Source organism: Homo sapiens, chromosome 2 (genome assembly GCF_000001405.40).
Source record: "Homo sapiens chromosome 2, GRCh38.p14 Primary Assembly".
Classification (NCBI taxonomy): domain Eukaryota; kingdom Metazoa; phylum Chordata; class Mammalia; order Primates; family Hominidae; genus Homo; species Homo sapiens.
Genome location: NC_000002.12, coordinates 33,452,265 through 33,474,553, shown reverse-complemented (window position 1 = coordinate 33,474,553; position 22,289 = coordinate 33,452,265). Strand labels below are relative to the sequence as shown.

The following is a 22,289-nucleotide window of genomic DNA, read 5'->3' as shown; positions in this document are numbered from 1 at the left end:
AGGAGGGTGAATCACCTGAGGTCAGGAGTTTGAGACCAGCCTGGCCAACATGGCAAAACCCTGTCTCTACTAAAAATACAAAAATTAGCCGGGCGTGGTGGTGTGCTTGAACCTGGGAGGCAGAGGTTGCAGTGAGCCAAGATCAAGACCGCACCACTGCACTGCACTCCAGCCTGGGCAACAGAGTGAGACTCTGTCTTAAAATAAACAAATAAATAAAAGAACTCACTCACTATCATGAGAACAGCACTAACAGGATGGTACCAAACCATTAATGAGAAATCTGCCCCTAAGATCCAATCACTTCCCACCAGGCTCCACCTCCAACACTGGAAATTACATCTCAACATGAGATTTGGGTGGGCACAACATCCAAACTACATCATAAGTGTAAAGCAGGAGTCCCCAGCCCCCATGCCATGGACAGGTACCTGTCCATGGTCTGTTAGAGGCCAGGCTGCACAGCAGGAGGTGAGCAGCAGTCAAGGGAGCATGACCATCTGAGCTCTGCCTCCTGTCAGATCAGCTGTGGCATTAGATTCCCATAGGAGCATGAACACTATTGTGAACTGTGCACGCGAGGGATCTACACTGCATGCTCCTTATGAGAGTCTAATGCCTGATGATCTGAGGTGGAACAGTTTCATCCTGAAATCATCTCCATCCCCTCATTCCCGGTCCATGGAAAAATTGTCTTCCATGAAACTGGTCCCTGGTGCCAAATACATTAGGGACCACTGGTGTAGAGGTTCTTTTCTAGTTCTATAGCCAGGAGAGGAAGGGATGGATCCTCAATCCTCCCTATGAAGCAAACTGTTAACACAGAGGCCAAGACCCAGGACCCTTTCAGTCAGAGTCCAGGAGTGTGACTAAAGGTTCTACAATAACACAGCCTTGCAAAGAAATGGGGGAGATCCCATCTTTCTGCCCACACTCCCTACCAGTTCCAAGCATTGTCTTCGACTCAAGAAGAGGTGCCCTCTTCCTGTCAAGAGGCCACCTCCTACCTCGGCTTTGTGTCTCACCCTGTGTCTCCCACCTGCTTAGGACTCTCGACAACAACCACGCCTTCTCTTGCTCTCAGCGTGCGCTCATTAGCTAAACATGCTCACGTTCTCACATTGTCTTTATATCCTAACAACAGTCTTTCTGATTTTTTGCTTTTTTTTTTGAGACGGAGTCTCACTGTGTTGCCCAGGCTGGAGTGTGGTGGCGCGATCTCGGCTCACTGCAAGCTCCGTCTCCCAGGTTCAAGCCATTCTCCTGCCTCAGCCTCCTGAGTAGCTGGGACTATAGGCACCCGCCACCACGCCCAGCTAATTTTTTGTATTTTTAGTAGAGACATGTATTTTTAGTAGTAACATGGGGTTTCACCATGTTAGCCAGGATGGTCTCCATCTCCTGACCTCATGATCTGCCCACCTTGGCCTCCCAAAGTGCTGGGATTACAGGCGTGAGCCACTGCCCCCAGCCAGACTTGCTCTTTTAATTACTGCCCTAACTCCTGCATTCCCTCCACAACTAAACTCCTGAAAAAATACTTGTCTTCACCATCTCACATCCCATTTACTCTCAACCTACTTGTGGCTTGGCTTTTTTTCCCTCACTTCACTGAAACTGCTCTTTCCAAGTCCCCAAAGACCAAAGGCAACCGACACTTTTTGCTTTTTTTTTTTTTTTTTTGAGACGGAGTCTTGCTCTGTCACCAAAGTGCTGGGATTATAGGCGTGACCCACCGCGCCCGGCAATTTTCATGTTTTTAGTAGAGACGGGGTTTCACCATGTTGGCCAGGATGGTCCCGAACACCTGACCTCGTGATCTGCCCGCCTCAGCCTCCCAAAGTGCTGGGATTACAGGCGTGAGCCATCTTACTTGACCTTTTGGCTCTATTTGTCCCAACTGACCAACCACCCCTTGAAAAGCTCTCCCATGGCGTCTATAAAATTTTACTACTACCTCCTTCATCCTCAGGTCTGGGCTTCTCTTCCGCTATCTGCCCCTTAGGTGTGAAAATCCTCTCTTCTCATCTTGCACTCTTACCGCCCCTCATATGTTCTGATTTATTACTGAAGGTCTGCGGTGATTTCCTAATTAATCACCTTGCCTCCAAAAAGCCTGTCTCTGATCTCAATGTATGTTTTACACGCTAGGACTGAAAGCCCCTCCGGGCCATCGTAGGCAACTTTGTATTCCCAGAACCTTCAGGGCTTCACTCCCACTCTAGCTGCCTGCTGCTTTTGTACATTTCGCTGCGGTTGCATTTCTTTCTGTATTATAATTAGGTCTACATGTGTCTGTGTTCCATCCAAACTTTACCAATCTAAGACAAAGCTTATGACTTATTTTATATCCTGCAATGCCTAATACAATGCCTGGCATGTATGAGACACATGGTGGAAACAATCCTCGATGAATAAATGAATAATTAAAGAGAAGGATCTTCTGTCTAGCCCATTAAGAAAAAAATATAAGAAAAGTTTGCAAAACTTGATTTTATATTAGGCTACCAAAAAAAAATTGTAAGTAATTTCTTTCCAAAAGAAATTGGCCATATTCTGTGATCACACTGTAATAAAACTATACATTAATTACAAAAGTGTAAGTCAAAAAGACCCCACGCTCTTGGGGAAACTTTAGAGTTCTTAAAAAAAAAAATCATTGATTGGAGAATAAATTAAAAACACAATTACAGAATGAATGCTTAGAAGGTTTCAGTGATGAGAATACCACATATCAAATATTGGGAGACATAGCCAAAATAATAATTAGAAGCAAACTGACCCAGGAAGAAGTCAAAAAACAACAGATCAGTAACCATGGAAAAATGTAAAAGTTAATAAGGAATTATTTCCAAAAAAAGCTCTTAGTTCAGATTACTTACACAATCAAGTTCTAACTGAGCTTCAAGCAGAATTAACTCCCATGGTATATGAAGTGTTCAAGTGGACAAAAGTAACAGAAAGCTAACATAATACCCTGTCTTAAAAAAAAAAACTGATAAAGCATAATAAAGAAAACCACAGACTAACTTCATACGTAAACATAGGTTGCCCTAAAGATGTAAAAAATAAGGCTGGGAATAGTGGCTCACCCCTGTAACCCCAGTGCTTTGGGAGGCCAAGGTGGCAGGATCACCTGAAGCCAGGAGTTTGAGATCAGCAGGGGCAACATAGCGAGACTCCATCTCTACAAAAAAAAAAAAAAAAAAAAATAGCCCAGTGTGATGGCAGATGCCTATAGTCCTACCAACCTGGGAGGATGAGGCAGGAGGATCACTTGAGCCTAGGGGATCAAAGCTGCAGTAAGGTATGATCACACCACTGCACTCCAGACTGGGCAACAGAGAAAAACTTTTGGATTGCCACAATAATCTTGAAAAATCATTTGATAAAATTCAATATCAATTTTTTAATTAATAAAACAAAATTAAAAGACTGATTCTTAACATGATACTCATGTTAATTCAAATCTCAAATCAAACATAGGCATCATACTTAATGGTAAAATACTGGAAGTATTAATGTTAAAATCAGAAACAAGAAAAGCATGCTCATTATCACTACCATCCATTTAACACTGTTCTAGACATTTGAGCCACTGCAACCAGGCAAGAAAAAGAAACTAAAGAAGAATTTTATGAGAAAAATGGAGACAAAAGTATTCAACCTGCAGATTGAGTAATATTCATTTTCTCAATAGAACAAACTAAAATTTGCTTCTAAATAATTAAAAAGTGAGGTGAACAGTTACAAATAAATATACAAAATAAGTATACAAAATTAATTGTTCTGGCCACGGAACAATTATACAGAAATATATGAAATTTTCCATATAACCCACAAAAACTTAGAAAACATAATAGAAAATAATTCTTGGCCGGGCGTGGTGGCTCACACCCATAATCCCAGCACTTTGGGAGGCCGAGGAGGGTGGATCACAAGGTCAGGAGATCGAGACTATCCTGGCTAACACGGTGAAACCCTGTCTCTACTAAAAATACAAAAAATTAGCCGGGCATGGTGGCGGGCGCCTGTAGTCCCAGCTACTCGGGAGGCTGAGGCAGGAAAATGGCGTGAACCCGTCAGGCGGAGCTTGCAGTGAGCTGAGATCGCGCCACTGCACTCCAGCCTGGGCAACAGAGTGAGACTCCATCTCAAAAAAAAAAAAAAAAATTCTTAGTTATAGTATTATTTATAATAGCAACAACAACAATAACATTTCTAGGAATAAAAAAAGTGAATAACCTATTTAAAAATGTAACTTTACTGAGAAAATTAAAAACAGTTTGATACATTTCTGTATTGGAAAGTTTTTCTGTACTGGAAAACTTAACATTGTAAATATATTAATTCTCCCTCAAATTAATTTATAAATATAATCAAATTTTGCTTAAAATCCCAAATAAATTTTTCAAACAGGTCAAAAATCCTCAAGTTTATTTTAAAGAATAAAAAACTGAGAATGGTAAAGAAAATTTTAGAAAAGAACCACAAGGGAGATATTAGGTACTAAATAGGCTAAAAATAACGTGAATTTAAAGTTTGGTACTAGTGCCAAAAGAACTAGAGCAATGGAACAGAGCCAAAAGCCCAGAAATACACATAGAAGAACTACAGTAAAATGTTTATTGTATTTGTTCAATATGGTTTTTAAACCCAGTGGGAAAAGAATAAACTATTCAAAAACAGGTTAAATCATTAACTATTCGGAAAAATTAAGATGCAATCATTACTTCATGCCATACACAAAGTAAAAGCATGTTAGACTAAAGAGTTAAACATAAAAACGCTGTACAGCAGCACGGTGGCTCATGCCTGTAAACCCAGCACTTTGGGAGGCCGAGGTGGGCAGATCATCTAAGGTCAGGAGTTTGAGACCAGCCTGGGCAACATGGTGAAACCCCTTCTCTACCAAAAATATAAAAAATTAGCTGGGCATGGTGGCCCATATCTGTAGTCTCAGCTACTAGGGAGGCTGAGGCAGGAGAATCACTTGAGCCCAGGAGGTGGAGGTTGCAGTGAGTCAAGATCGCGCCACTGCACTCAGCCTGGGTAACAGAATGAGACTCCATGTCAAAAAAAAAAAAAAAATCACATACAAACTTGAAGAGAATCACATGATTGGTTTTATAATCTTAAAATTGTTTTAATCATGATTAAATACTTTTGTCCTGAAAACGTTTCAATCACAGTCACAACAGAAGGAGCTATAAAGATAAAAGTTCACGATTTAAACCATAAAATATAAAACATATATGTAAAATATAATCCAACGGTAATCAAAATTAACCTACAAATAATAAAATGAGATTCAAAAGTGAAATACGTATGGTAAAGGGTTAATGGTCTTAACATATAAATAGCATTTACAATTAACAACTGGATATTAATAAATAGTTCACAAGGGAAGAAACATAAATGACCAATCTACACATGAAAAAGTCAGCTTCCCTAAAAAAGGAGTATACATTAAACAACGATAAGATACAATTTATTATCTATAAACTTGACAAAGATGAAAAAACGAAAATTCTCAGTGTTGGCAGGAGGTTTGGAAAATGGCACCTTCATACTCTACCAGAAAGAATATAAATCGTACAACATAGGAGGAAGATAATTTTGTAATGTATGTCAAAAGCTTTTTAAAATGTGAATACCCTTTAACTCAGCAGTTCCTGTTCTAGAAATATATCCTAAGAAAAGAATATGGATTGCATATGTATAAGGATATTTCACGCAGCATTACTTATACTAAGAAAATATTAGAAAAACATCTAGGTGCCAAAAGTAGTTGAATAAATTAGAACATATTCATAAGATATGGCACTATGCAATTATAAAATAATGTTGAAGTGGCTGGGTACAGTGGTTCACACCTGTAATCCCAGCACTTTGGGAGGCCGAGGCAGGTGGATCACGAGGTCAGGAGATCAAGACCATCCTGGCCCACATGGTGAAACCCTGTCTGTACTAAAAATACAAAAATTATCCCGGCATGGTGGTGTGCACCTGTAGTCCCAGCTACTCAGGAGGCTGAGGCAGGAGAATCGCTTGAACCTCGGAAGCAGAGGTTGCAGTGAGCCGAGATCATGCCACTGCACTCCAGCCTGGGCAACAGAGCGAGACTCCGTCTCAAAAAAAAAAAAATGTTGAAGCATATTAGTAACATGGAAAAATATTCAGCATCGATTAAGTGAGATATAAAAGTTACAAAAGTTTATTCAGTACAATCCCATTTTTCTAAGAAAATATGTGAATATATTAAAAATCTGAAACATTATATATCAAATTTTTAATAGTGATTATTTCTGGGAGTTGGGGGTCACATATATTTCCTCCTCCTTTATGCTCATCAGCATTTATCTACTGTTTCTATAATAAATATTTATTAGTTCATTTTTTAATGAGATCTTTTTAAAATAAGAAAAGAGATACTGGACTTACAAAGACACTTAAGTACTTCAATCATCTACACAAAGAGAAAAAAACAAATCATGTACACTAAGAGAGAAAGAAAGAAAGAAAGAAAGAAAGAAAGAAAGAAAGAAAGAAAGAAAGAAAGAAAGAAAGAAAAAGCCTCACCATCCATTAGAAAAACCAGTCACTTTTTCCCAAGTCTTGCTTCTTTAACTTTCTGGTCAATATTTGACAGCAAATCTCTGAAAGGTTTCAAGGATACAGGAAGAGGGCGGAAGTGTGGTCTTGCCTGAGCACCTCTTATTCTGTTTCTCAGGGAGGTCCCAATGGGCCTTTGTGCCTATCTGAGCCACCGCCTTAGGTAGAAATTCCCAAAAGGTACCAATCTCATATAGGCACTGTCAGATAGTACAACTTCCCCTGCTAGCAGCTCCCTCCTGAAGCTGTGGGTCCATTTGCCCTACACCAAATTCCACACAAGCTGCGTCAAGTTGGGACGCAAAACCTGCTGTTAATTTGAAGCACTAACACATACCACATCTCATCCCATCTCTGCCTTCCTTTCCTTTTAGGAGACTTTGTATGCAACATTCTCTCATATTCCTCCAGCTCAGTAAATTCTATCTTGTGCAATCTCTTTTTCAGACACATACACTTTTTTGATACCTTCTCTTTTTTTCTTACAACACTTGTCTAAAAATCATGGGAGATTTCTCTACCCTTCTTGTTCTTCCCTTTGAACTATGTGTGGGCCAGGGTAAGCACCCAGTCACAGTCAGTTCATTATAAGAGTTGTGCTAGCTACATGCCTGTAACAAATAAAAAGAAAGAAAAATTTTTGAAAGCATCAGAGAGTAGACTTTGCAACCTCTAAAGCTCCTGAATCAAACAAACCAATATCAATAACTGAAAAAAATATAGTGCCGGTGTTCAATGTGCATTGCCTTTAGGAATTCATCAAAGTACCTGAAATCTCTCTGGGAGAAAAGAGGAACATGTAGAAAGGCATATAGAAGTAATCATAATTATTATATATAATACCAAGTAGAATTTATTAATATATATATAGTTAGTATGTTACTAATATATAATAAGCTAACACCTGTGCAAAACACTCATTTAATCCTCATGGTAATGATCTAAGGAGATGCTATTATTACCCCTAGATGACTTTTCGTGAGGTTGACTAGCCTGCCCACAACGAGTGAGCAGCAAAGAGGGATGTAAACCCAGGTCTGTCTGACTTCAAACCCTGAGCATTTACCTCCCCAGAATGACTTAGCAGCCATAGAAGTTTTCCTAGACTTGCTCATCCTCTTCTAATTAAACCTGGGTCACGGAAAATTTTTTAACTTATGTTTATAGTATACTGTAGTCTGTTAAGTGTGCAATAGCGTTATGTCTGTTTCCCCTGCATCTGCAGTTACCTCCTCCGCTGAAATCTTTTTTTTTTTTTTGATACAGAGTTTCCCTCTTGTTGCCCACACGGCAGCGCAATGGCACAGTCTCAGCTGATTGCAACCTCCACCTCCCAGGTTCAAGTGATTCTCCTGCCTCAGCCTCCTGAGTAGCTGGGACTACAGGCACCCACCACCATGCCCGGCCAATTTTTGTATTTTTAGTAGAGACAGGGTTTCACCATGTTGGTCAGGCTGGTCTCGAATTCCTGACCTCAGGTGATCTGTCCGCCTCGGCCTCCCAAGGTGCTGGGATTACAGGCCTGAGCCACCATGCCCAGCCCCCTCCGCTGAAATCTTAAACCCCTCAAAGTCGTCCATGAGGGTTGGGGTAAACTTCTTTCAAACTCCTATTAATGTCAATAATCGGACCTCCTCCCATGAATCACGAATGTTCCTAATGGCACCTAGAATAGTGAATCCTTTCCAGAAGGATTTCAATTTATTCTGCTCCTTTCAATTTACTCTGGTCACATCCATCAGATGAATCACTATCTATGGTAGCTATAGCCTTACAAAATGTGTCTCTTAAATAATAAGACTTGAAAGTTGGAATTACTTCTTGATCCATGAGCTGCAGAATGGATGTTGTGTTAGCAGGCATAAAAACAACATTCATCTCTTTGTACATCTACACTAGAGCTCTTGGGTGACCAGCTACAATGTCAATGAGCAGTAAGAAGGAATCCTTCCTTTTTTTTTTTTTTTTTGAGCAGTAAGTCTCAACAGTGGGGTTAAAATATTCAGTATACCAGGCTATAAACAAATGTGCTGTTATCCAGGCTTTGTTGTTCCATTTATAGAGAAAAAGCAAAATAGATTTAGCATGATTCTTAAGGGCCCTAGGATTATCAGATTGGCAAATGAGCATTGGCTTCAACTTAAAGTCACCAGCTGCATTAGCCCCTAACAAGAGTCAGCCTGTCCTTTCATGCTTTGAAGCCAGACATGGACTTCTTTCTAGCTATGAAAGTCCTAGATGACATCTTCTTCCAATTTAAGGCTGGTTCAACTACGTGGAAAATCTGTTGTATAATGTAGCTACCTTCATCAATGATCTTAGCTAGCACTTGTGGATAACTTGCTGCAGTTTCTCCATCAGCACTTAAGATTTCATTTTGTACTTTACTTAATAACATGTTCATTTATTTATTTTTGACACAGGGTCTTGCTCTGTTGCCCAGGCTGGAGTGCAGTGGTGTCATCATAGCTCACTGTAGCCTCAAACTCTTGGGTTCAAGCGATCCTCCCTCTTCGGCCTTCCACCTTGTACTTTTATGTTATGGAGATAGTGTTATTCCTTAAGCCTTATCAACAAACCTCTGCTAGCTTTAAATTTTTCATCTGTGGCTTCCTCCCCTCTCTCAGCCTTCCGAGAATTGAAGAGAATTAGGACTTTGCTCTAGATTAAGCTTTGGCTGAAGGGAATATTGTGGCTGGTTTGATCTGCTGTCCAGACCACTAAAACTTTCTTCATATCAGCAATAAGGCTGTTTTGCTTTCTTGTCATTCATGTATTCATTGGAGTAGCACTTTTAATTTCCTTAAAGAACTTTTCCTTTGTAGTCACAATTTGGCTGTTTGGCACAAGAGGCTTGGCTTTCAGCACACCTTCCTCACTAGGCTTTATCATGTCTAGCTTTTGATCTAAAGTAAGAAAATTGTGACTCTTTCTCTCACTTGAACACTTAGAAGCCATTTTAAGATTATTAACTGGCCTAATTTTAATACTGTTGTGTCTCAGGGAATAGGAAGGCCTGAGGAGAGGAAGAGAGGTGGGGAAATGGCCAGTTTGTAGAGCAGTCAGAATATGCATAGCATTTATTGATTAAGTTTGCCAGCCAATATGGGTGTGCTTTGGAATGCCCCAAAACACTTACAATAGTAACATCAAAGATCACAGATCACAGGCTGGGTATGGTGGCTCACACATTTAATACTTGCAGAGGCCTAGGTAGGACAATTGCTGGGGCCCAAGAGTTTGAGACTAACCTGGGCAACATAGTGAAACCCCATCTCTTCAAAATGTAAGAAAAGAAATCAGCTTGGTGTGGCGGCATGTGCCTGTAATCCCAGCTATTCGGGTAGCTAAGGTGGGAGGACCACTTGAGCAGGGGAAGTCAAGGCTGCAGTGAGCTGTGATTGGCCACTGCACTCCAGCCTGGGCGACAGAGCAAGACCCTATCTTTTTTTTTTTTTTTAAAAAAAGATCACTGATCACAGATCACCAAAATAGATATAAAATATAATAATAATTTAAGACCAGGCACGGTGGTTCACACCTGTAATCCCAGCGCTTTGGGAGGCTGAGGTGGGTAGATTGCCTGAGCTCAGGAGTTCAAGACCAGCCTGGGCAACATGGTAAGACCCCGACTCTACTAAAATACAAAAAAATTAGCCAGGTGTGGTGGCATGTCCCTATAATCCCAGCTACTTGGGAGTCTGAGACAGGAGAACCACTTGAACCCAGGAGGCGGAGGTTGCAGTGAGCCAAGATAGCGCCACTGCACTCCAGCCTGGACAACAGAGCAAAACTCCATCTAATAATAATAATAATAATAATAATAATTATTATTATTATTAAGTTTGAATATTGCAAGAATTACTAAAATGAGAAATGAAGTGAACACATGCTAATGGAAAAATGGTCCTAGTAGACTTGCTTGATGCAGGGTTGCCTTAAACTTTCAATTTGTAAAAAAACATAGTATCTGTGAAGTGTAATAGAGCACAGCATGGTAAAATGAGGTATGCACATGTACAAATAAAAAGAATGAAAGGGCTGGGCACGGTGGCTCATGCCTATAATCCCAGCACTTCGGGAGGCCGAGGCAGGCGGATCACGAGGTCAGGAGTTCAAGACCAGCCTGGCCAACATGGTGAAACCACATTTCTACTAAAAATACAAAAAAAATAGCCAGGTGTGGCGGCAGGCACCTGTAATCCCAGCTTACTTGGGAGGCTGAGGCAGGAGAATCGCTTGAACCTGGGAGGCAGAGGTTGCAGTGAGCCAAGATTGCGCCATTGTACTCTAGCCCGGGCGATAGTGCGAGACTCTGTCTCAAAAAAAAAAAAAAAAAAAAAAAAGAGTGAAGGAGCAGACAGCTTCTACCAGAGGAGGGCTGCTGGAGGCCTCTACACCCCAGCCTCTGTGGGCCCCCTTTCTTCAGCATCCTGGAGAAACTCCCAAATTTCCAGACAAATTGGTCCAGATTAACAATCATCTTCCCCTTTCAGTTCTCTTTCTTTTCCCTGTCTTTTATCTCTTCTCTTTTCTTTCTTTTTATTAAACTTCATTCACTTTTTAAAACATACTAGCTTTAGCATAAATGCATTTACTTATTATAATTCACTTGAATTTACCTTTATGGCAGTGTTTCTCTCTTAACATTCTCTGTCCATCTAATCATCTTCTATAAACTAGCCTAGATTTCTAGCTGAAGCTGGATTCAGTAAAACCTGAGAAGGAAAATTTAGCGTTCATGCCACAAAACACCTTGTTTAGCATAATTACTTACACACAGCTTTCTCCCCCAATTATTTTTATTCCAAAACTATTTGATTTGACAGCAAGTTTCATTCATTTTTGAGGCTCTCACTCCTATAAACGCAGATGAGTGGTAAAGTTAATCTGAATCTAGATCTTCTGAAATGCCACTGTTGATTCTAGGATTCTTTTCATTCTTGAAAAGAGTTTCTTATAGTTAAATAAATAAATAAATAAAAATCCTGAGGCAACCTCTGCATTTCTTCTGAGAATCATTTTAGTGTGCAGAGAATACTATAAGGAGAATTTTCAGAATTATGATTTCCTTTCTATTCAAGCATTAGTATAGTTTGCTATTTCAAAGCAGAACTACAAAGCTGATTCAGGGATAAATGACACAAAGTAAATATTTAAATTCTTTTTCTTGAAATGTGTGATAGCTTAATGCATGAGGTGGGGGCGCAATTTGATCTTCGTGAGAATCACAGGAAAAGTGCAGTTAGAAACTCTACATCTGGCCGGCGCAGTGGCTCACGCCTGTAATCCCAGTACTTTGGGAGGCTGAGGCGGGTGAATCACCTGAGGTCAGGAGTTTGAAACCAGCCTGACCAATATGGTGAAACCCCATCTCTACTAAAAATACAAATCTAGCCGGGCTATGGTGGCGGCTGCATGTAATTCCAGCTACTTGGGAGGCTGAGGCAGGAGAATCTCTTGAACCCGGGAGGTGTAGGTTGCAGTGTGCCGATCGCACCACTGTACTCCAGCCTGGCCAACAGAGCGAGACTCTGTCTTAAAAAAAAAAAAAGAAAAACAAAAAAAAAAAACCTCTACATCCTCTTGTTCTCAAATGCAAACTCTAGGCTTCTTCTGCCTCTTCTCATCTTTGCATCACAGCCTCACTCTAAATCAACAATCAACACAGGCCTCCTTTTGAGTCCACTAAGCTGTTCTGGGTTCACATGGCAGCTCACTAGCACTGGCTGGAGAATGATGCTCACTTTCTTTCTTCATTTGTTTTTTTTTCCTCTTTCCAAATGAATGAATTTTTACATCATGGCTGTAATTATAAAATAGCCATGTTAATTTGATACCAAATCCATCTGCTCAACATTGTACATAATTCTAAACAATGTCAATGTTCCAGTTAATCGCTTTTGCTCTTCACTTTAATTACCAGGTTATCCAAACCCAGCTAGCTAACTGCAAGTCCTGTTTTCCAGCCTTAGTGCCAAACCCCTTGCTCAAGTTTTAATTCAACCATCACAGCCTCTTGGTTATAACCTCGTGAGGCCTGGGCTTTTAACCTCATTTCCATTATTCCACGCCTTTTCTGGAGTATCACTCCCTTTGTCATACATTTCTTAAATAGCACCATGATTTACTTACACTGTATTTGCTCAATCTTTTGACTGTAGTCTCGGTATTACTTATAACTTTGTGTGTAGAAAACTTTTGGATAAAATATTCTTACGGCTTCCTGGGAATCCATAGCAGAGTAAGAATCTGCTGAGGAATGAGGATCTAACATTATTGCTACAAGATTTCTTATTTGTAGATCATAAGGCATAAACTAAGAAAGCACTTTCAGAAACGCATTTTAAAAAGTGGCAGGAGCTGGGCACATTGGCTCACGCCTGCAATCCCAGCACTTTGGGAGGCCAAGGCAGGTGGATCACTTGAGCTTGGGAGTTCAAGACCAGCCTGGCCAACATGGCGAAACCCCGCCTCTACTAAAAATACAAAAATTAGCTGAGTGTCGTGACGGCACCTGTAATTCCAGCTACTCAGGAGGCTGAGGCAGGAGAATGACTTGAACCCGGGAGATGGAGGCTGCAGTAAATAGAGATCGTGCCACTGCACTCCAGCCTAGGTGACAGAGAAAGACTGTCTCAAAAAATAAAATAAAATAAAATAGTGGTAGAGAAATTTCCAGTTTTCCCTAACGTTTTAATTTAAAAAAGGAGTCTTCTCAAAGCTCATCTTTGTGATTGCCAGTCTCATGAATAAAAAGTAATAGATAAGTTTAGGTTGGGGTAAAACTTCTCAAATTGAGAGGCAAGGGATTGGAAGTGAGGGATGGGTGTTGATTCCTTAATACAGACCATCAGTGGTATAAAGCTCAATAAATCTTCTTGGTTGATGGAAATAAACGCGTGGCAGTGAGAAATCAATGCAGAGGAGCATGGATTGCAACACTCGAAAACTATCAACCTAAGCAGTGAAGTTTGATAGGTATTTGAATTCCTGTAAATCCTTTTAGACTTACAAACTAATGGCCAGAATACTCACATTATCACATAGTCTTGTTTCCTTTTATAAAATAAGATGAGCAGGACTCCTGTGTGTGTGATTTATGTTATAAAATACTTAAATCTGGCTGGGTGCGGTGGCTCACGTCCATAATCCTAGCACTTGGGGAGGCTGAGGCAGGCTGATTGCCTGAGCTCAGGGGTTCAAGACCAGCCTAGGCAACAAGGTGAAACTCTGTCTCTATTATAATACAAAAAATTAGCCGGGCATGGCGGCTTGTGCCTGTAGTCCCAGCTACTCAGGAGGCTGAGGTAGGAGAATTGCTTGAACACGGGAGGTGAAAGTTGCAGTGAGCCGAGATCGCGCCATTGCACTCCAGCCTGGGTGACAGAGCAAGACTCTGTCTCAAAAAAAAAAAAAAAATTATATCTAAAAAACAATACATGCCCACTGTAGCAAGTTGAATAGTACAGACATATACATAAGGAAAAATGTAATAACCCTCTTTCCTATCCATTCTCATTTCACTGAGATAACACACATCTTTCTCTATCCTGTATCAAAATCCAATATAGGATAGAAAAAGGTATCTCCTACATATATATGTATGGGGTTCTATTTTCAAATGCAACTTTCAAAACCCCATTACTCTGTAAATTGATTTTTCCCTTAATAATGTATCATGGCCATTGATATTGGCTCCAAAGTCAATCATATAGATTTGATTTATTCTTTTTAATAGTTGCATTCTACTCCACAGTATAGTTATATCATAGTTTATTCATTATCTGAATATTTGAAATGTTCCCAGTTTTTACTTCTATGAACAGTGTTGCACTAAACATCCTGGTACATGTATCTTTAGTTGCTAATGCTTTTATTTCCATTGTATAAAGTTCCAAAATTGGGAGTATTGGGATTGCAAAGTTATTCATTTACAATTGACAAACATTCTTTCCTTGACCGAACTCTAGCCAGGCTCCTCTGAGCTCTCTTCTCAACTAGGCCTCAATCCTGTCCTATAGAGGCTTGAACAAATTCTAATATGGAGTTTAGAGAGAACTGGAGAGAACTCAAGGCTGCCAAAAAAATTTATTGCTTGTTCCAGTCAACACCAGAGGATAAGGCCTCTGTCCCCCAGTCTCTCTGGAAAGACAGAATCCTAACTTCAGCAACTTTCAGCGAGCAGACACAGCTGGCTTCATTGCATTTATACTGATCAACCCTTTGTAATTTTTCACTTTCCTGACTCTACTGAAGCCCTCCTTGTCCCCTCACCACTCCCTTATTCTCCCTTAAAAATGCCCAGTCACTTCTGTACAAATCAAAGTTGAGCTCAGTTCACACTAGACTGTTTTCCCTATTATAATAGTTAAAACTGATTAAAATCTGTCCTTACCACTTTAATTAGTGTTTGGCTTTGTTTACCTTTAATGCTCTATATTTCCAGTTATTTTTCCAAAAATGAACTAAAAGCAATGCAAAGTTATAGACTTAAAAAGTCTTGGCTGGGTGCAGTGGCTCACGCCTGTAATCCCAGCACTTTGGGAGGCTGAGGCAGGCGGATCATGAAGTCAGGAGATCGAGACCATCCTGGTTAACACAGTGAAACCCTGTCTCTACTAAAAATACAAAAAATTAGCAGGGCGTGGTGGCGGGCGCCTGTAGTCCCAGCTACTCGGGAGGCTGAGGCAGGAGAATGGCTTGAACCCGGGAGGCAGAGCTTGCAGTGAGCCAAGACTGCGCCACTGCACTCCAGCCTGGGCAACAGAGCGACAGAGCGAGACTCCATCTCAAAAAAAAAAGTCCGAGAAATGTCCACTTTGAGGATCAAGATTGTAATATGAGAGGCATTAAAATTTATTTCAGCATTATATCCCACCAGGCATATTTATGAAATCATTTATGTTAAAAATGTTAGATTTTTTCATGTAGAATCATAATTTTTTAAAAAATATATCTTAAATCTAACTGATTAAAATTTGTCAAAGTTAAAAGTTAGAGTCTATTTGCCCCCAGTTAGTCCTTATTATCTGCACATACCACAATTTCGATCAACTCTAAAGATCACTGAGGCCATGGAATCAACTGCCGAGTGGGTAAAAACAATTTATTTTAATGAGCAAATGTGAACTGATGTGCTATTAAGGACAAAAATGTTAAGGTTGGACTAAAAATACTTTATTATACTTTCACAGCATGCAATGGTGCTGGTGGAAAAAGGGTCAGTTACCTTCTCACTTGTTTCTACCCTATTTTCTGCACTGTGGCCTTGGTAACTGAAGAGCCCGCTCTTCCACATACCATCTGAGGCAGGAATAGGGTCCACTATCTAAACAGGGACAAGGGGCACCCAGTGTCTACAGCTATACTCCTCCTGGTATGGAATTTTACCTATACCCACCTCTTCTGAATTACACGGCTTCACCACAGAGTTTGATCTGGGGCTTTGTAGTGAGAGGTTGCAATATATCTGTCTATATTTTTAATAGCATATATATTCCATGTTACTGTTAACTGATATGGCTACACCAGCCAACACGCTCTAAAACACAAACAACTGAGCACAAGTTTCCCTGCTGCACAGAAAAAAAATCATAAATTATATTCAATATAAATTAAGGGAAAATTATTCACATTGCCAAAGCATTCTTTGTTTTAGAAAGCTACTCATTAAAGGATTACAAGAAATGTGTGCACCCCTGGTGCACTAAAAATGGCATTCAACCAACCAAAATTCAACTCATACGATTCAAGAACACATTTATTAAGTAAAATAAACATAAGTCCGATTTTGGACCCAACTTACTGGCCCAGATGGTCTGTATCCTTTCTTTCAGAACAAAAAAAAGTGGGCAAGCAGTTCCTAGCTGCCTGTGATAGACAGCTATTTCACAACCTCCCCAGGGTGCGCAAAAGTCACCTGCTATAAATAGCTCCTCAGCACTCACGTCAGAGTCCTCAGTTGAAGGGCCAGGTGAAAATATAAATTGCCTGAAATATGTCCTCTGCATTCTAATTCCATAGGTGACTATTTGCTGAAAATTCTCAGTAATCCTCCTGACAATTTCACTATAAATATACTTTAAAACTTTTTTTAACCATTTTCTGAAGTAGTAGGAGAGGTAGTGTGGTGAGGGTTAAGAACACTGCCCACCAGGAACAGGAAACCAGGATTCTCGTTCCCCAATCAGTCACGTAAGAGCCAAGTAAGTCACTTAAGCCTTTAAGAATAAAATTCCTCATTTGTGAAAGGGAAATGATAATACCCAACTCAAAGGGTGGCAGTGAGGGTTGCAAATAATGCATTCCGCATCAGGATTTTATCTTATAAAAATGACGTGACATTTGTAATATCAAAAAAAAAGGAAGGAAGGAACCTAAAAAAAAGAGGCGATTCATCAAAACAATCTTAATGCATTCATTCAAAGCTGTATACATCATGTAGCCATGAAAAAGATGTAATGGAAAGATGGTCTTGATGCAGTAAGTTTAAAAAGTGGGCTGAAAAAAACACTATGCATTTAGCCCCATTTTTATTACAATAAAGCATGTTTTCAAATGCACATAAAATATCTGCAGTGACAACAAACCATAAACATATATCCACTTTGAAGAAAAAAAGAGGGTTCCAGGTTTTTTTAAAAAAATATGACTAATTTTAGTTGAGTATATTCATTTATAACAAACTTGGATTATGTCTATAATTAAAAATTTAAAACAATGAAGAAAACAATGGGAAATAATTAGCGTGAAGAAAGCACTTAGCGGTCCGGCATGGCGGCTCGCACCTGTAACCCCAGTACTTTGGGAGGCTGAAGCGGGTGGAACACTTGAGGCCAGGAGTTTGAGACCAGCCTGGTCAACATAAGGAAACCCCATCTCTATCCACACCTGTAATCTCAGCTACTTGGGAGGCTGAGGCACAAGAATCACTTGAACCTGGGAGGCAGAGGCTGCAGTGAGCTAAGATAGGCCACTGCACTTCAGCCTAGGTGACAGAGCCAGACTCCATCTCAAAAAAAAAAAAAAAAATAGAAAGCACTTAGCACAATGCCTGGTAGACTTTGACGAATGGTGATTATCATAGTTACTTTTGTGTAGAAGCTACAGAACTCTTTAAGTAAAACAAGTTTACAAAAAACTAGCAGACCTTGGTAACATGCAACCAGTTATGCCTGTGTGTGAATTGGATTAATTATTTTTAGAAAAATGAATTTTTTAAAAATTGTGGTGATTCTCTCATGGGTATATAAATATGTCAAGACCTCAAACTGTGTACTTTAAATATGTGTGGATTATCATATGTCAATTATACATTAACAAACTTGTTTAAAACAGAGTGGAACTAAAATTTTCAACAGGAATAAGATGGAAGACTGAGATCAGAATTTAAAGTTCCTAAGGTCTTTATGCTATTCAGAAGACTGAATATATTAATATTAGACTTTGTTAAATCAAGTATGTATTTTAAAGTTGCAAGTACCACCACTAAAACAAAAGATATGGATTATGTAAGCAATTGAGAGGAAAAATTGGAATAAAGAAAATTTGAAATATCCAAAAGAAGTCAGGAAAGAAAGAATGATAAATCGAAAATTAAAAATAACATTAATATCTCAATAATCACAGTGTAGATGGTCTAAACTCACCATTAAAATGTAAAGACTATCATTAAATAACAAACGAAAAGACAGATCCATTTTTACTCAGTTCAATTCCACAGGTGTAGGGCTATATGTGTGTAGTAAGAGGATCAAATACCTCTCCCCAACTCAACTTCTTTTAACTGCTTTTCTGAAGGCTTGAAATTAATTGAAGGAAAATTCTTTATACCAAAAATAACAAAGGAAAGTAACTTTGGTGGGAAGAGGAGAGGGTGGGAGAAATGGAAAGGGGACAAAGAGAACTGGCAAAGAAAAATAATGTTTCCATGCCATAATTTCAGCAGAAGGGTAAATTAAATGCACGTGAAATTGTCTAACTGATATCCAGCTGGTTTATTGAAAATGATGTATCACTTGCTACCTAAAATGAGACACTCGGGGCAGGGTGGGGCAAACCTCTGGGACCTCCTAGCTGCTCTTCCTCCCCCCAGGAGGTGTCATGGTGAAGATTCCTTTCCTGAATAGTGGAGCTAGAACTCCTTTAAGGAATTTGAACTAAACCAGGCCAGACGATACAATTCATTCGTTCTTTCATAGAGTCTGCAAAACTTGGTTAGATGGTTTTAATCAATCTTATCGGGAAAACAGATGGAAAGTCCTTCCCAGAAGTTAATCCTTCAGTCTTATTCCAAAAGTAGGCCACATGGCTCCTCGGGCGGTCTGCCTTTGGCAGCACTTTCCCAGTCTCCATCGATTTTACACGTGTTGGGACTGATGTTGAGGGAATTGTAGGTGAGATACTAGGAAACTATGGACATTAATGAAGTTCATTGCCTGTAAGCAGCATCTCTCCAGATATCATTCCCAGCCCAGTTATCTACAAATTTGTGATCCCATCCTGATCACTGGGATGATAAAATAAAAATTGCACAGGACTAAGAATCAAAAGATGTGGCTTCTTATACATCCCTGACTTAATCCACTCAAGGGACAGTAACTGAGTCCAGAACATTACTACTATGAGTTCACCTCAATGATCAAGCAACAAGATGAGAATGGCAATATTTGTTTCATGAATTTCTTAAGAAGAATTGAAATAATATAGAAAAATCTTCTTTGAAAAACCATAATATATGGTAAAGTGGACTTTTTTCTTACATCCATAAGACTGTTTTAAGCTTTCATGGATCTTTGCCTACATGACATCATCTCCTATAGAAGAGGGTGAGAAGCTATAGTTGACATCTATGACACTGTTTTCCTGACATTCCCACTCTCCTCCATCACCACATTCAACCACCCCTTATGCCCCCCCTACCTTGGCCCAGATGAGCATGTAACTCAAACTGAGCCAATCATGATCCCTCTCTTTTTTTGGCCACATTTGAGTATTCCAGGAATAAGCATGTGATTGAGGTGGATGATTCCCTAATCAAATGACTCCCTTCCCCAAATTTTTAGGACATAGAACCAGAAAATCCTTTTTCTGTGGCAAATATACAAGGTATAAAACTTACAACCTATTAGCAGTTATATTTTCTGAGGGAGAACTTTTCAGTTAATATTCCAGTTTCAAGTGTAATATGTCTGCCTTTAGGTGGCCCTGGTCCAGAGACCAGGGTCCCCCAGCCTAAACACCCTATATTTTACCCTGTTGAGAGAATAAACTTCCAGCCTTCTGCTATGATGAGAGATGGGTGATCTCCCACTTGGGCAAAAACCCTTTGATCTCTTCTTAATGGGGTTTCAAAAGGAAACAAAGGTAGATAATGTGTGTGTTAAGCCCGTCTTCAGCTGGAAGCTCAAAATCTTTATAATACACTCATTGCTTTTTATAATATTCTTAATCCATTTTGATGTCTCTGGCCCTTGGGGCCCAAATACTGCCATGCCTACCCCAGACCCTCTACCTTGGTCACATCTTTCCAGTCTTATGCTCTATATTTAAAACCATCCCTCCTCCCATAAAAATTCTCCTTTCCTTAGTTACAGGGTTACATCAAACAGAGAAAAGTATAGATGCATTGATGTGTCATATCAAAGTAACAGGAATTGACTCACTCCTCTCTGGACTATGTATGGCTTTTTAAAAAATAACTTTACTTAAAAAGTAGAAGAAGAAGACAGTGAAAATACAGCCATTTCAATCCACAGAGACAACTTCAAAAGAAACCAAACCTGCTGACACCTTGATCTTGAACTTGACATCAGTGTTAAATCAAAGTAACAAGAATTGACTCACTCCTCTCTGGACTATGTATGGCTTTTAAAAAAATAACTTTTACTTAAAAGAAGAAGATGACTGTGAAAAACACAGCCATCTCAATCCACAGAGACAACTTCAAGAGAAACCAAACCTGCTGACACCTTGATTTTGAGCTTCAGCCTCCAGGATAGTGAAAAATAAATTTCTCTTGTTTAACCCAAAAAAACCCCCACTTTTATTGATTTGTATGTGTGTAATTTCAAAAATCATATATGTTTATCATAAAAAACTTTTAAAGTATAGAAAAGTACAAAGGAGAAAAATAAGATCAATTTTAATTACATCTTTTATAACATTATTTTGGCATATACATGTGATAATCTGCAGATGGCCTCCCAAGATCCTTACATATCCTCATGTAGTCCTTGCTCATGCTGAATCAGGACTGACCCTGAGTGACCAATAGGATACATGAAAAGTGATGACGTATGACTTCCAAGGCAAGGTCATAAAAAACCTTGCATCTTTCATCTTGGTTTCTTGAATCTCTCACTCTGAAAGAAGCCAGTCAGATGCCACCTTATAAGGGTATCCAATAAGACCCATGGAGAAGTCCACGAAGAAAGGAACTGAAGTCTCAGCTAACAGCCAGCACCAACATGCCAGCCATATAAGTGAGCCACCTCAAAAGCAGACCTCAGCAAGATGGTGCAATAGTATTTTCCAGCACATATCCCCTTACAGAAACACCAATTTGAACAACTATCCATGCATGAATGTACCTTCTCAAGAACTAAAGAATCCCAGTTGAGATCAAAAACCCTTTGATCTCATCTTAATGGGGTTTCAAAAGGAAACAAAGGTAGATAATGTGTGTGTTAAGCCCGTCTTCAGCTGGAAGCTCAAAATCTTTATAATACACTCATTGCTTTTTAAAATATTCTTAATCCATTTTGATGTCTCTGGCCCTTGGGGCACAAATACTGCCATGCCTACCCCAGTACAGAAATAAGAAAAGGCACATTGAAGAGGGCGAGAAAGAGTGTCATATTACTGATATCATCCCTCCCCCAAGGGGTGCACAGCACAGAGAAAGATACCTTCCCTGTGGGGGAAGGAGAGTGAACTGAACACCCTACTTTGCTATGGACCACAGCATCGGGCCCACTTCAGTGAAATCCAGTGCCAGAGCAGCCCTCATGATCCCAGGCTCTAGGCTAGCACCTGTGGATAAGGGCATCCAGGGCTACCCTAATGCTGGGCCAGCCCCTATGGCCCCAGGCTGCAAGCAGGCCTCTATAGCATCAGGCTGCAGCTCCATTCAAGCACCACACCAATACAACAGCACTAGGCTCTACACCCAGAGGCATGTCTGCCACAGCAGCTCAACCTCTAGGCCAACCCCTGCAGACACAGGCTTTAGGCAAGTCCCAGTAACCAGGCTAGCCCTTGTGTGGACTCAGGCTCCAGGCCCATCCTAGAACAAAGTGGGCCTCTATGAACTCAGGCTCAAGGTCCATCTCATGGACAGGATGGCCCCCATGAACCTAGACTTCAGGCCAGCCCCTGCAAACACAGGGTCCAGATTCACTCCCATGAACCCAGAATCGAGGCCCACCCCAGGAGATGCAAGCTCCAGGCCTTCCTGCCTGCTGACTCAGGCACCAAGGCAACTTGCCTGAGAATACAGGAGCAAGTCTGCCCTCAGATTCCACCAAACAACCCACCCAGAATCTCTAGATAGACTGGTGAGAGCTTTCCAAAGCCAATATGTAAAAGGTAGAACAGGTGCTTACTTCTTCATATGCATAGACATCAATATATAGCCACAAAGATAGTGAATAATAAGGGAAACACCACCA

General features: G+C 40.1%; 1 protein-coding gene across 7 annotated transcripts in view; it reads right to left on the bottom strand.

Moving 5' to 3' along the window:
- The window catches only part of RASGRP3 (RAS guanyl releasing protein 3), a 128,384-nt gene that overhangs the window by 90,178 nt on the left and 15,917 nt on the right, over positions 1–22,289 (bottom strand). For 3 of the 7 annotated variants that reach the window (XM_011532748.4, NM_001349979.2, XM_047443877.1), the window contains exon 1: positions 16,424–16,499. The exons of the other annotated variants lie outside the window; for them this stretch is intronic. The gene's annotated coding sequence lies outside the window, so the exon portion shown is untranslated. Of the gene's footprint in view, positions 1–16,423; positions 16,500–22,289 lie in introns of those variants that run through there. 7 annotated transcript variants of the gene reach the window in all.